Below are 12567 nucleotides of genomic sequence, written 5' to 3'. Positions count from 1 at the left end.
GAAGACCTTGGCCCCATCTCTAATCATTTTTCCTTAACCTAGCTTAGGTCAGGGGAAGAAAGAGAAAGAGACAGAAAGATTGAGAGATTATTTTCTCATTATCATCCACCAACATTTTATAATCTAGGCCATTGAAAGCCTGGATCCTAGTCAATGCCTCATCTCTGGTTCCCCACAGGAGTTTTTCTTTTTCAGGAAAATCTTCCAAAATAGGCCAAAGTTCCCTTTTAGCCACCAGGTCCCACTGCAAAAATGTCTGAGACTTTCTACTGCCATCTCCAACTGGATTTAAGATCTGCGTTAGAGATTACAGGAGGTTTTGAGCTATAAAAAAGCCCAACTTTTGCCATTTTTTCTTAATAAGCTTTACTTACCCAAAGCCTCATCTGCTAAGCTAACCAGCCAAAGTTCCAATGATTTGTCTGGGTTTTGCCCACACTGGTAGGTAGATTTTCCTCCTTTCATGCTCAGTGTAGATGTGTGTCTCTAACTTGTCTGAAAGAGAGGAATCTTAGTGCTGGCTGTTACAGTGGGAGAAATTTGAGGTTGACCCCTCGGCTGGTGAGGAAGTTCCCTCACCCAGAGCAAAGTTAGCAACAAGCAGCGCACTATTTGAACAACTATTTCGGAGCCTACTTCCTGATACTCAACCTGCAGTTCCTACAATTACCTTCTCAATTCCTTCTCACTAGCAATAGCAGTAAAGTAGAGGACAATTTATTCCCCAGCTGGCCATACAATTTGGTCAATTCACTACTAAGTCCTATGAACGTCCCCAAATCCTATTAATAGGCTTGTGGACTACTCATCTTTCCTCTTCCAGAAAGCCATGTCTTTGTCAGCATCTCACCATCATTACCAAACTGTGAAGAACTGTGAAGAGTCTGACCTTTGCCCTACTTGCAGACCAAGAAATTAGCCTGCCATAGTTTCATGGAAAACCCAAGATTCCAAGATCAGCGATGAAGAATGGCTTATTACTCACATCAATAGCAATAGCCAGAGTATCCGTGTTTTTGCCTTTGTTCCTCAAGTCCCAATTCCAACAGGTGGCACAGAGGGTCAGGTGACATCATCCCTTGCAGCAGCTTGGGTTACAGGAGGAGAACCTGAGCTTAGGGAAACTGAATCTTTTATAATGGTCAGTAAGTACGCCTGCCCTTTGCTCCAGAGAGAGACACTAGCTCCAGCTTTCAAGGCTCTTCACTATACAAACATCCTTTTACAGGAAGAAAGAGCAAGTTGGTGCTTTGCTCACAGGGTGTGCAAAAATGTGAGAGATCCACAGAAAAGTGTCTCGATCAGGACAGAGAATTATCTAGCAGCAATGTGGGAGTGGCACTTGAACAGCCGGTGACTGGGAATTGAATTAGCATCTCATATCATTGTGTGTACGATGTACATGGAAGTGGTGGGAACTTATGTGATTACATAAATAAATTTTCAACCTTCCACAAGAGATGAAAATGAAAATTCTCACAAGAGGAGAAAGAACCCGAAAATTTCTACCTCAGGAGGGACAATAGAAGTCAAGGCATATATTTTTTAAATAGATTAAATTCAAGCGCTATTGATAATTGTTGAATCAGGATGATAGGTATCTGTTAGTTCCTTTTACTATTTTTAACTCTATTTTTATGTGTTTAAAATTTTTTCTAATAAAATTTTAAAACATTTTTAACTAAACAATTTGAAGTAACAGAATTCTTCATTGAAGAGATGGTGCTTAGGATAAAAACCTCTTAGTTGGGGTTGGTATTGAATGTTTCTCTCCCCGAAAATCTCTACTATAGTAGAAGGAAGAAAAATATGTAAACATTTTATCTACTGATATAACCAAAACTGAAAGTTTTGTTTTAGAAATACTTGATGTATTTTAAATATGGGGACAAAGATCTGAGATGAAAGAATGTTAGACAATCACATTAAATTTCACTAGATGACTAAGTGCTATACTCAACATGCTAAAAGGATCTAATACATGATCCATGTATCACTCAAGTTCCAGTGATCACTGAGAGAACAAGGAGAATGCAGGTCTTGCAAATGTTTACAACAGACTGTTTATATATAAACAAAAAACAAAACCAAAACGAAACTGACTTCGGGGGTACTTAGCCATTCATTCATCATTGAGTATCAATCACATGTCAGACACTGTGCTGGGTGAGTGAATCTAAAAAGAATAGGGTTAGACTTTATTAAAAAAATCATGATCTTCAGTATTTTTTAAAAGTTGTATTGTCCTTATATTATTGCTAGTTATTGTATGATTTAGGCATTGAATATGTTTTTGAAAGGGGAATACAGAACGAATTCTGATAGGTGGCAGTTGGTACAGTTCTGAACTGATGGAGAGAAAATGAAGAAAAACCTCACCAAGCTTAGACAAGGGATAGAAAAGTTTCCAACAACTCTCTGTGTGGGCAATAAGCAAACGGTGTGTCTAGGGGACATTAACCTAAGCTATGATTATAAGATGATCCTCTCTGGGTTATTTGTTTGAAGCTCTACAAATGGAATCCATTATTGACTGGTTCCTCTGGCCCCTGTTTTGTAACTGCCCTAGAGCCCAACAGCCTGATGACTGTCGCTGGATCCAGAGGGTCCCAAGGAGAATGCAGAGTGCCTGGACTGCTCCTCAGCCTGAGCCCCATATCTCGAGGAAGGCAGAGAAGGATCAATAGGATCGAAATTAGGAATCAACAGAAAGACTATGATCCTTTAGGGAGATGATACCTGAGAGAGGATATGACCAAAACTCTATACTCTTTGTAGGACCTCTATGGTGAGGCCTGGCTGCTGTATATGGCTGTACCAGTTGTACTTTGCAAGGGCACCTAGCCAAGGGCATGACATGGGGGTGGGGGACTAGACTGGGGTTGAAATCTAGCCCATGCTCCTCTCACTGAGCCATGCATCTGGCATAAGGCTGTATCTGTCCGAAAGAGGGAGCACCCATTCTAAATTAAGCACCCAGAGTGGGTGCTGTTTCTTATCTGCATAGAGGCCTGTATGGGCTAGAGGCAGCCCTAAAGTGAGAACATATTCAAATCCTGGAATGCTAAAATTCAGGGGCACCCATTGAAATTCTATGTAAGTAGTTTAAAGATAAATAAAAGATGGCATTACTTTATACAGTGGGTAGTAAACATATGGAACTCATTATCCTCAAGATGTTGCATAGTCCACAAATATAAATAGGATAAAGAAAGATTTAGATAAATTCATCCTTGTTAGATTCATATGAGCTGCTAGAGCATTGTTAGAAACACACAGGGAACGTTTCCAAATGCTTTCAGGGAAAATACCATGTTTGTCTTTAAAATGTCCTGCAGTGCCTGTGCCATGGACTGAACACAGCAAATCTCTGGTTATCCAGGTTTCTCAGGGATATCAACATCTACAGTAACCAAGCTTTCCAACTGACTGGAAGTTAAGCTAGTACATTATGTCTCTTTCTTTCTTTCTTTCTTTCTTTCTTTCTTTCTTTCTTTCTTTCTTTCTTTCTTTCTTTCTTTCATTGTTGTTTTTTGTTTGTTTGTTGGATTGAGTCTTACTCTGTCACTTAGGCTGGAGAGCAGTGGTGTAATCATAGCTCACTGTAACCTTGAACTACTGGGCTCAAGCTATTCTCCCACCTCAGCCTCCCAAGTAGCTGAGACCACAGGTGTGTGCCACCACACTTAGCTAATTTTTAAAATTTTTTTTGCAAAGATAGGGCCTTGCTATGTTTCCCAGTCTGGTCTTAAATTCCTGGCCTCAAGTAATCCTCCTGCCTGGGCCTCCCAAAGTGCTGGGATTATAAGCATGAGCCACCATGCCTGGCCATATTTTCTTTATATTAACAAATTGTGTAAAAGTCTTTCTCAGCAGTGGCATGAATTTTTATGTGCTCTTACACAAGTTTGACAAACTTAACATTTTCTTGAGGACTTGGAGCTATCATGATGAACACCCATAATTGTACTGAGTATGATTTCTTAGGAGAAAGTGATTTCTTAGGACCCAGGACATCAGCTGAGATTTGCGGCACTATTTGACCATGACCTGGTTCCAGGGAGCTATGGTGGATTTTTCCTTTGATTTCTTTCAGTGTTTATGCTTGCTTCAAAGAAAATTTTTGGTCTTCCATGTTCTTCAGGCTTCCATATTCCCTATTGTGAATGTGATTGCAGAAAAAAACCTTTCACTCTTAATTTGCCACCCTACCTCTTTGACCTCAGAGGAAAGCATTCTACTTTCCACTTTGTCATGTCATCTCAGTGTGAAACAGACCTTCGCTTACTTCATTCTAGCCCCCAGAGACAAAGTTGCACTTTTAACAAGTTTAACTGAAGGCTGGGGAATAACAGAGGGGAAGCACATTTTTGTACTACTACTGCTAGCTTACTCCTGAACCCAGAGAGGCTGGAACCCACTCTCAGTCCTCAATAGGGATATGCCTGTTTAGTTCCCATCCCTATCAACCCAAACTTGGAAGCAGGCCAAAGATATCCATAACTCCAAGCACAGATCCATGGCCAGGCGCCAAAGAGGGAATGGCCTACTTCTTCACTTATCATTTATTGGCACCAGCATCTTAGTACTTTTCCTAAAATTACAAGACCAGTAAAACCATGAACATGTCCCATGGCACCCATTAGGACAATGCGTGAAAACACAACAGTCCAACATCAATACACTGTAGATGATTCAACCTGATGTGGCTCTCAGACATTGACAGTCCAGGCCTGGTTGAGCTCTACCAAGTCCAGTTCTGCTCTTCTGTGTGGTCTGTCTGATAGCAGGAGATGCAAATCTTGCCTGCACATCCTACATGAAATCGCCAGATTTTGCTTCTAAGTAAGAATATACACAAATCTCCAAATGAATATGTGATACTTTAAGTCCCAGTATAATCCAAATTTACACTTTGAAGACAATCAGTATTTATCTAAGGAAGACGCAACATGCAGAGATACATTCCTGTAGATTACAAAACAGGCGTTTAAAATCTGTTGAGTTAAAATACAGATGTTAGCCACTCAGAGTCACCCTGGCTGAAAATCACCAATTCAGAACAAGGCCTTCATTTATGTTTGAATACCTAAATGACTCATTCTGATTGTTTTCTCAAAATGAAAGAACAATCTTCCCTAAAAGTGATTGCCAGCTGTCATCTCTAGGGATTAAAAAAAAAAAAAAAAGACCTATGACTTTCAAATCACAGAGGTTGCCCTCTCTCCTTCTGCCCATCAAGTTTTTAAAAATCGTTAAGGCTGCATTTCAGTTCAAGCTCCTCTTAGGTAAGTATGACATTTAATAGATTCCAAAACACACTCTATTTTTACATTTCAACATCTCTGACTTCAGGATAGGTCTTATAATCTATGACTTCTCACAATCACATCTAGCCAAGCAGCATTCATGAGATAGTTGCCTCTTAGTTATATGAGAACTTGGTCCATTAAATAACAAGCTTGCTGAAAACGTAGTGACTTGGCTGTTAGTGTCAGGGCCTGACCAGACAGCTGCAAATCTGTAAACAATGGAACTTCTGAGGCCAATTGAGGAAAAAGTGAGGATCTGTTATTGTTAGAAAACCTCCACGAACATCTTCATATGATCGATAAAGCTCCAGAATTAAAACTTGCATACTGTGTGACCATGGTTTAGACAAAAGTCTTAAAGACTATCACAGAGCACTCTTTTAAGAAATGCTTCCTCACCCCTGCTCTTGCTCGTACAGAGTCTGATGCTCTGTAGAAAAGCACATACCAGCAACTCTGAATCAGAAGCCAACCTTCTTCAAATGTGCAGAAGTTTTAAAGAACACTTCAACTAATTTATTTTGATTAATTTACCTTCTTTGGTATGCAAAAAAGAGATAAATGATTTTTTTAAGGTCTATGTCCAAATATCTAATTCTAAGAAAGCCTTACATCATAGTTTAATTGATAGTGGGTTTTTATTCCTTAGAGGCATATAAAATAATGGTGTATATGTAAAAGGAGTATCAGTGGTCTCCCAATATTCCATCTGTTCCCTCATGTGTCCCGGCGCTCTTATAGGTAGGCTGAGCTATGTGATGAGTTCTGGCCAGAGGGATACAGGTGGAAAATGAATTATGTTATTTGTGGGTCAAAGCATAGAAAAACTAGCTCTTGATTCCAGATGTCTTTGCTCACACCACAGTAAACCCTGAAGCCTCTTATAGAGATAATGGAGCCTCTATCAGCTTATGGTTCCCGAGTGACTAAGTAGAACAGAGGCCTCAATTGACTCTCATTGCAGCATAAAATAAACTTTTGTTGTGTAAGCCACTGGTGTTTGGAGGTTATTTTTTATTATAACACACCTCTAGCATATCCTTACTATGATACAGTCCATCCAGCAACCTATGACCTCTTACATTTGATAAAGTATAGGAACACTCAGTGGAATGCTGGTAAATGCCGCACTACCAGCTTTCAGGGAGTTGGAGGGAATCCCCGATTTATAGCATTTGCCTATTTTTGTGGTGTAAATACTCCCATCATGGCCAATTTCAAGTTACCAATATGACTTTTTAGGAATTGCAAAATTCCTAAAACTTTAACAGTCATCTCTTGGGAACCAATATAAATGGGCTCCAGCACGGCACTAGACATGTACTGCAAATATCTCCCCAGTTAACATTTTTCCCATAGAATATTTATTGGTTTTTAATACCCAACTTCATAGAACATATATATCTCTCAACATATCATTTTTTGGCTATGTTTTTATAGGAAAAAATGTATATTTGCATATTTATAACTCAATAGAACATTTTTAACAAAGCAATACATAAGAAAAGAAATATAATTTGTAGAATGTCAGAATCATGTGCACGCACTTTAAAAAGTGTACATTATAAACTAAGGTAAGTTTTTCTGTCACTGGTACTAACAGAGACATCACAGCATATAAAGTAGCTATTAACTGTATCAATCCTTAGATGATCAGCAAACATGGTTTGATCATTTTACATAATAATATGGTAGTTCGTTACTTACATATACACACTTTTCTGTGTTTTAGTTACTTTTTAAGAAATTTGTTGGTTTAAAGCTGATGTGTAACACATTATATTTTTTTCCATTCCAAATAATGGGAAATAGTTTCTGGTCAGCTTTTAAAATGTAGAACATCTGATTTTCAGTAATGGATTACTGCCATTAAGTGGGAAATGTTGATTATATAAATACTAAAACCTTGAGCTCTTATGAGCTTTAGTGCATGAATTTAAAATGACATCTATTTTGCCTACTCAGGGAACTTTTTGCATAATTCCTGGTTTTTAGTTATGTTCCAGATGGACAACACTGCTGGTGAGCTAAGTTGTGGATGGTTGAAGCAAGTAATTCTTATATTCTTAGTATAGTTTAAAATATATGGTACAACATTAGTTACTATCTGTTCTGAGAAGAGAAACAGGGTGGAATCCAATTATTTCTGATTCATTGAAGTAAAATAAATAAGCGTTTGGAGAATGGTTAACAACCTTAGCTACTCCATGTCCTCAAATGTCTTTCCTTTGCACCAATATTTTAATCCTGCAACCTTCTCAATTCTAATCAGTTAGAATGAGATGGAGACCCTTCTTACAATCCTTCCCAACACTGACACTTCTCCCCACTCCTGTTATCCTGGGTAATGTCAGTCTGTGGAGGAATCAGAAAGCTATTTAAGCAAACCCGCCCATCACAATATTTTTCTACCTGTCACAGTTTGGCATTTTGCTGATAGAGCTTTATCCTGTAGTGTCTTGAAAATTTGGAGTCTTAAAGACTTCCATGGGAAAGGCCACACCTTAAATTCCTTCCCATCTGATTCTGTAGAGGAAATTAAGGCAATTTGTTGAGGTCTGTCCTAAAGAAAAGATTACAGTTTCCTCTTAGGAAAAGTCATGTTTTAAGAAGTGTGAGATCAGCAGGGAAGACGGGACCAAAACAAACTTTATCTACTTGACAGCAGAACCTGGAATTTCCAAGAAGTCCCTGACATTTACCCTAACAGACCATATTATCACCACCCTAAGGAGACTCCAGTCCAGCCCACACAGAACTCTTATATTCGCCACTAAAGAGCCAAATGATGGTTTTTAGATGGCATCACAAGGCTTCTCTCCTTTTATACTCTTAATTTTGTGATTCTGTGGATGGGGTAGTATTGATCTCATTCCCTTGATGCATTGTCTGCCCTTGCCCAGGGTACCTAGAGTTTCCTATCTGCTTTCACCTACAGCCTTGCTTCTGTGAGTGGCCTGTGGACACGCATCATCAGCCTCTCTTAGAAGTGCAGAATCTTAGGCCTCGCCCCAGGCCTACTGAATCAGAATCACTTTTTAATAGATCCCCACGTGATTCAAAGTACATTAGACTGAATGAGAACACTAAGACTCAACAAGACTGTTGAGAAGTCTTAACAGCCTTTGGAAAGCTAAGGAAGTTCTGAGGACTCCTCTACCATCTCTCAAACGGAGACCTGGGATATGTCTGAACTGGGTGGTCAACAAACATCTGAAAGTTTTTAATCACTGAAGAAAACACTTCTAGCATTCTTTCAGTACTCCACTAAGTTGGACTGGATCTCTCATAGAAATAGATAGAGGCTATTCAGGAACGACTGATAAGAGTTTCAGCCTGTTTTTATTGAATACTTTTCCCTGCTACACAACATAGCCTTCTTTCTCTATATTTAGTTTGTTTTGGGGTTACTGTGGAAGACTTGGGCCCCAAGTTATTTCTGCATTTATATGCCATACATCTTGGTTGCCCAATAAAGGTGCTAATCATGCAGTGGACATTTTGTTCCTTGGTCATTTTGTGTATTGATTATTTCATATTTATAACACTTAAATATTCAAGATAATTCTGTATTACTTAAGCACACTATAGTCCTAGAATCATAACATCTCAGAGTTTTTGCATAATTCTTCGGGCATCTTAAGTATACTGTTATTTGCTGCTGGAATTCCCCCTAAACACCCTACAACTGGTCATCTTCGCTCCACTTGAATATGTAGAATAATATGACACATATCACATTTTATGCTAACCTCTCCTAGTTTTGAACAATTCTAATTAGTAGAAGTTATTTCTCATACTAGATTAAAATCTGTCACCCATGTGTCTTTAAAATTATGTATTCATTGCAGTTATTAATTCTACACTATATTTCCTTATCTAGCTGATGTTTTCTTTCTTGTTACTAGAAAAATTGGGAACCAAGGCACAGAAGTACTATCGTAGGGTTTCAAAGGCCATCAAAAAGGACACACACACACAAACCAAGACTGGAAAGTATTTATTTCTAACTTACAGTTCTATTCACTAGACTGTCTGCCAAACAATGCTGCCCTGTGACCAACACTATGATAATATATAAGCAAACACATCAGTCCCTGGGAAAGAGCACGCATCAGGGTGTGGTAAAAATCCAGAAACTGTGTCCCTCCCTTCAGGGGTCAAATATCTGGCAAACATCCTGGGGTCAGATCAGAGGCCAGAATCCACTGTGGGGAGCTGATCCGTTCCCACAAAGGAGATTTGACTTGCTGGCAGCTGGCAATTTTCCTTTGTGAAATGGGTGTTCCTGGCACTCCATAAAAGTCCTCCCTCCCTCCGCTTTTTTTTTCCCTCCACCCCTGCACTCCACACCCTGCTGTACACACCCTCCCACTCCTATACCAATAAAACCCCTCCCTAACACACATTCTGCACACACACATGCCCCCACAACTTCCTCTGCAAACACACCCACATATCTCTCAGATACACGCCCAGGCAGTACAGGGCTTTCTGTCTCATGCCCTCAGTCTTCTCCTAGCATCTTAACACCATATATACTACCCCACACTTCCTCTTCTTTTCATTATCACCCGTACTTATTTTATTTTATTTTAATATTCCTTCACCTCATCCCGGCCCACCTGCCTTTGCTCCCTGGGCCTGGGAATGCTGGCACTGTAATCTTGTTCTGCACATTTGTAATCTGGAGCTGTCACAAGCAGGAAAGTCATCAGCCTGCATGTGCCTGCCTGTTCTTCTCCTGCAGCTAGGCTAAGAGGGAGGATGGAAGGAAGCTGGCAGGCAGTTCTATTTCTGGAAACTACAGAAACTCTTGTTTTCCCTCCTTAAATTCCCAAGGGAACCATTCCAGGCTTTGCAATAGTCACCATCATTTCTTCTTTCCTCTAATTCTGTTGCAAGTTTTCCTCTGTCCATTCTTCAGATTTACAATATGGTGTCTGTCTGTGGTAGCATCCCTCACATCCTGTCCATTATGACAAGTTACACAAGCCCAGGAGACCCCACAGAAGATATAAAGGACAATGAAAGAGAAGGATAAGATTGTTTATGTCCAACTGGAAAGTTAGGTAATTTAAATATATGTTAATCCCCTGGGATCTGTCTGTAGACAAAACATTGAAAAAATGCTGTATCAATAAAATATAGAATGTATTGGTTTATAGCATTTCCATGCTCTCCAATACCTGATAGCTTCACTAAGTTTTTTGTTTTTGTTTTTGTTTTTGTTTTTAAGATGGAGTCTCACTCTGTCACCCAGGCTGGAGTGCAGTGGTGCAATCTCGGGTCACTGCAACCTCCACTTCCCAGGCTCAAGCGATTCTCCTGCCTCAGCCTCCTGAGTAGCTGGGACTAAAGGCATGCGCCATCACACCCGGCTTTTTGTATTTTTAGTAGAGGTGGGGTTTCACTATGTTGGCCAGGCCGGTCTTGAACTCCTGACCTCAGGTGATCTGCCCGCCTCAGCCTCCCAAAGTGCTGGGATTACAGGTGTGAGCCACTGCTCCCAGCTTCACTAGGGTTTAAAAGTGATCCTCTTGGGCAAATAATTTGCCACAGTTGCCCAGCTTTCTTGTTATTCCTTGGTGAGGAGGATGATAGTTTAGCTAAATAAATATTAAGAAAAATGAGGGTCCTTTAATCATTCCATAATAAGAACATGTGAATTTTTAAGAACAGCCATTATTTACGTGAACCTAAATATTACACATAATCTATGACATTGCACTGGACATTAAGCGAAATAGATACTGTTTTTGTTCACTGAAAATGTACCATCTAAAAAAAGATACCAATGGGACCAAAAAAATGTGAATAGCCAGAAACAGATTTGATTATTTTCTTTTAATGTTAAAAAAAATTGAGTAAGTCCCCACTTTCCAAATAATAGCATCCTAACATATAAATTTTGCATTCAAAAACCTAACAATCTGGCTCCAATACACCTTTCAACTCTGTATTCCATTTTTCCCCACTAACGCTGTCATCTACACACTGGACTTACTGATTCCCGAACACAGTCTGTGCTTTTCAATGGCATCTTAAGACCAGGGGCCCTGTCTTTCCAAATTGTATCCCTCACAGTTCTCAGCCCAGTGTATTATGCATAATATTGTACCTGGTGAATAAACAGTTGCTGACAGTGAACTTCATGAGAACAAGGCAGTTATAATTAGGGTGGAGTTAGAATTTGCAAAGCTCGTTGCATACAGAAAAGGCATGTCCTCTTTGCCTATAAAGTGCCTACTTACTCCCTATATTAACACTGTTTTTCCGTTGCCATAACTGCCCAACAATGTTAATGTATTTCATGGCTCTAGGACATCCTTATTCAGCCTCACGTGTCCAGGCTTCACATATCTTTGGACTGGGTTTTACCAGAGACTAACAGGTTGCTATCACCACATGTATCCAAAACACATACGAAACAAGTCAGCACAGCACAAGTGGAGAAAAGAACCAGATCCCCCCCCGCCCCACCCCGCTCCATAAACTAGTAAATTCACCCTCAATTCAGTATGTTGCAGAAATACCATCTTCAGGGATACATTAAGATACACATTTCATTAATTTCTTCTCTCCTAGGGAAACTTTTCTCTTTCATTTTCTTAATGCTTAGCTGCATTTTGATGTTTCCCGTTTCATTTAACAAGTTACATTTATTAGCTTAAGTACTCTCTTCCATCAACAAACCTTGAAAGCTGATGCTAGTTCTAGAAATCATTGTTTCCAACCATACGGTTCAGATAATTTAAGAGTCTCATAGTAACAAATACAACCTGATTCAAGTTGTCAGTGATTTTCCACGGCAATAAACATTACAAAAAGTAATGCAGGCAGGGCATGCTGGCTCACTTTTGTAATCCCAGCACTTTGGGAGGCTAAGGCAGAAGGATTGCTTGAGACCAGAAATTCAAGACTAGCTTGGGCAGCATAGCGAGACCCTGTCTCTAGAAAAAAAATTTTAAAATAAGCCAGGTGTGGTGGTGTGCACCTGTGGTCCCAGCTACTCAGGAGGCTGAAGTATTAAGATCACTTGAGCCCAGGAGGTTGAGGCTGCAGTAAACCACGATTGTGCATTCCAGCCTGGGTGACAGAGGGAGACCCTGCCTCAAAAAAAAAAAAAAGTAAACCAGAAACATTTCACAGTACTCATGAATATAGGTCACTAAAATTCACAGATGATCTGTAATGTTCTTTTTAACCATTCATTTCTTTTTTTTTCTTTTTCTTTCTTTCTTTTTTTTGTTGA

At 39.5% G+C, this 12567-nt stretch overlaps 1 protein-coding gene and 1 long non-coding RNA gene across 8 annotated transcripts in view, besides 1 other annotated feature; one reads left to right on the top strand and one right to left on the bottom strand.

Annotated features, from left to right (window-relative positions):
* NEMP2 (nuclear envelope integral membrane protein 2) overlaps positions 1-12567 on the top strand; it is a 227365-nt gene that overhangs the window by 60365 nt on the left and 154433 nt on the right. The gene's annotated exons all lie outside the window — the stretch shown is intronic.
* Positions 1-12567, bottom strand: part of NEMP2-DT (NEMP2 divergent transcript) — a 104691-nt gene that overhangs the window by 51108 nt on the left and 41016 nt on the right. The window contains exon 4 of one of the 4 annotated variants that reach the window (NR_183905.1): positions 11145-12421. The exons of the other annotated variants lie outside the window; for them this stretch is intronic. This is a non-coding gene — a long non-coding RNA (NEMP2 divergent transcript). Of the gene's footprint in view, positions 1-11144; positions 12422-12567 lie in introns of those variants that run through there. 4 annotated transcript variants of the gene reach the window in all.
* Positions 5012-5181: an enhancer, noted in NCBI's record as "active region_16861". NCBI's record gives its function as "activates an Ori minimal core promoter by ATAC-STARR-seq in GM12878 lymphoblastoid cells {active_cell/tissue: GM12878}" and the evidence as "EXISTENCE:reporter gene assay evidence [ECO:0000049][PMID:35858748]".

The sequence above is a fragment of the Homo sapiens genome, chromosome 2, assembly GCF_000001405.40.
Source record: "Homo sapiens chromosome 2, GRCh38.p14 Primary Assembly".
Classification (NCBI taxonomy): Eukaryota; Metazoa; Chordata; class Mammalia; order Primates; family Hominidae; genus Homo; species Homo sapiens.
The sequence above is the reverse complement of the archived record's forward strand: the minus strand, read 5'-3'. Positions and strand labels throughout refer to the sequence as shown.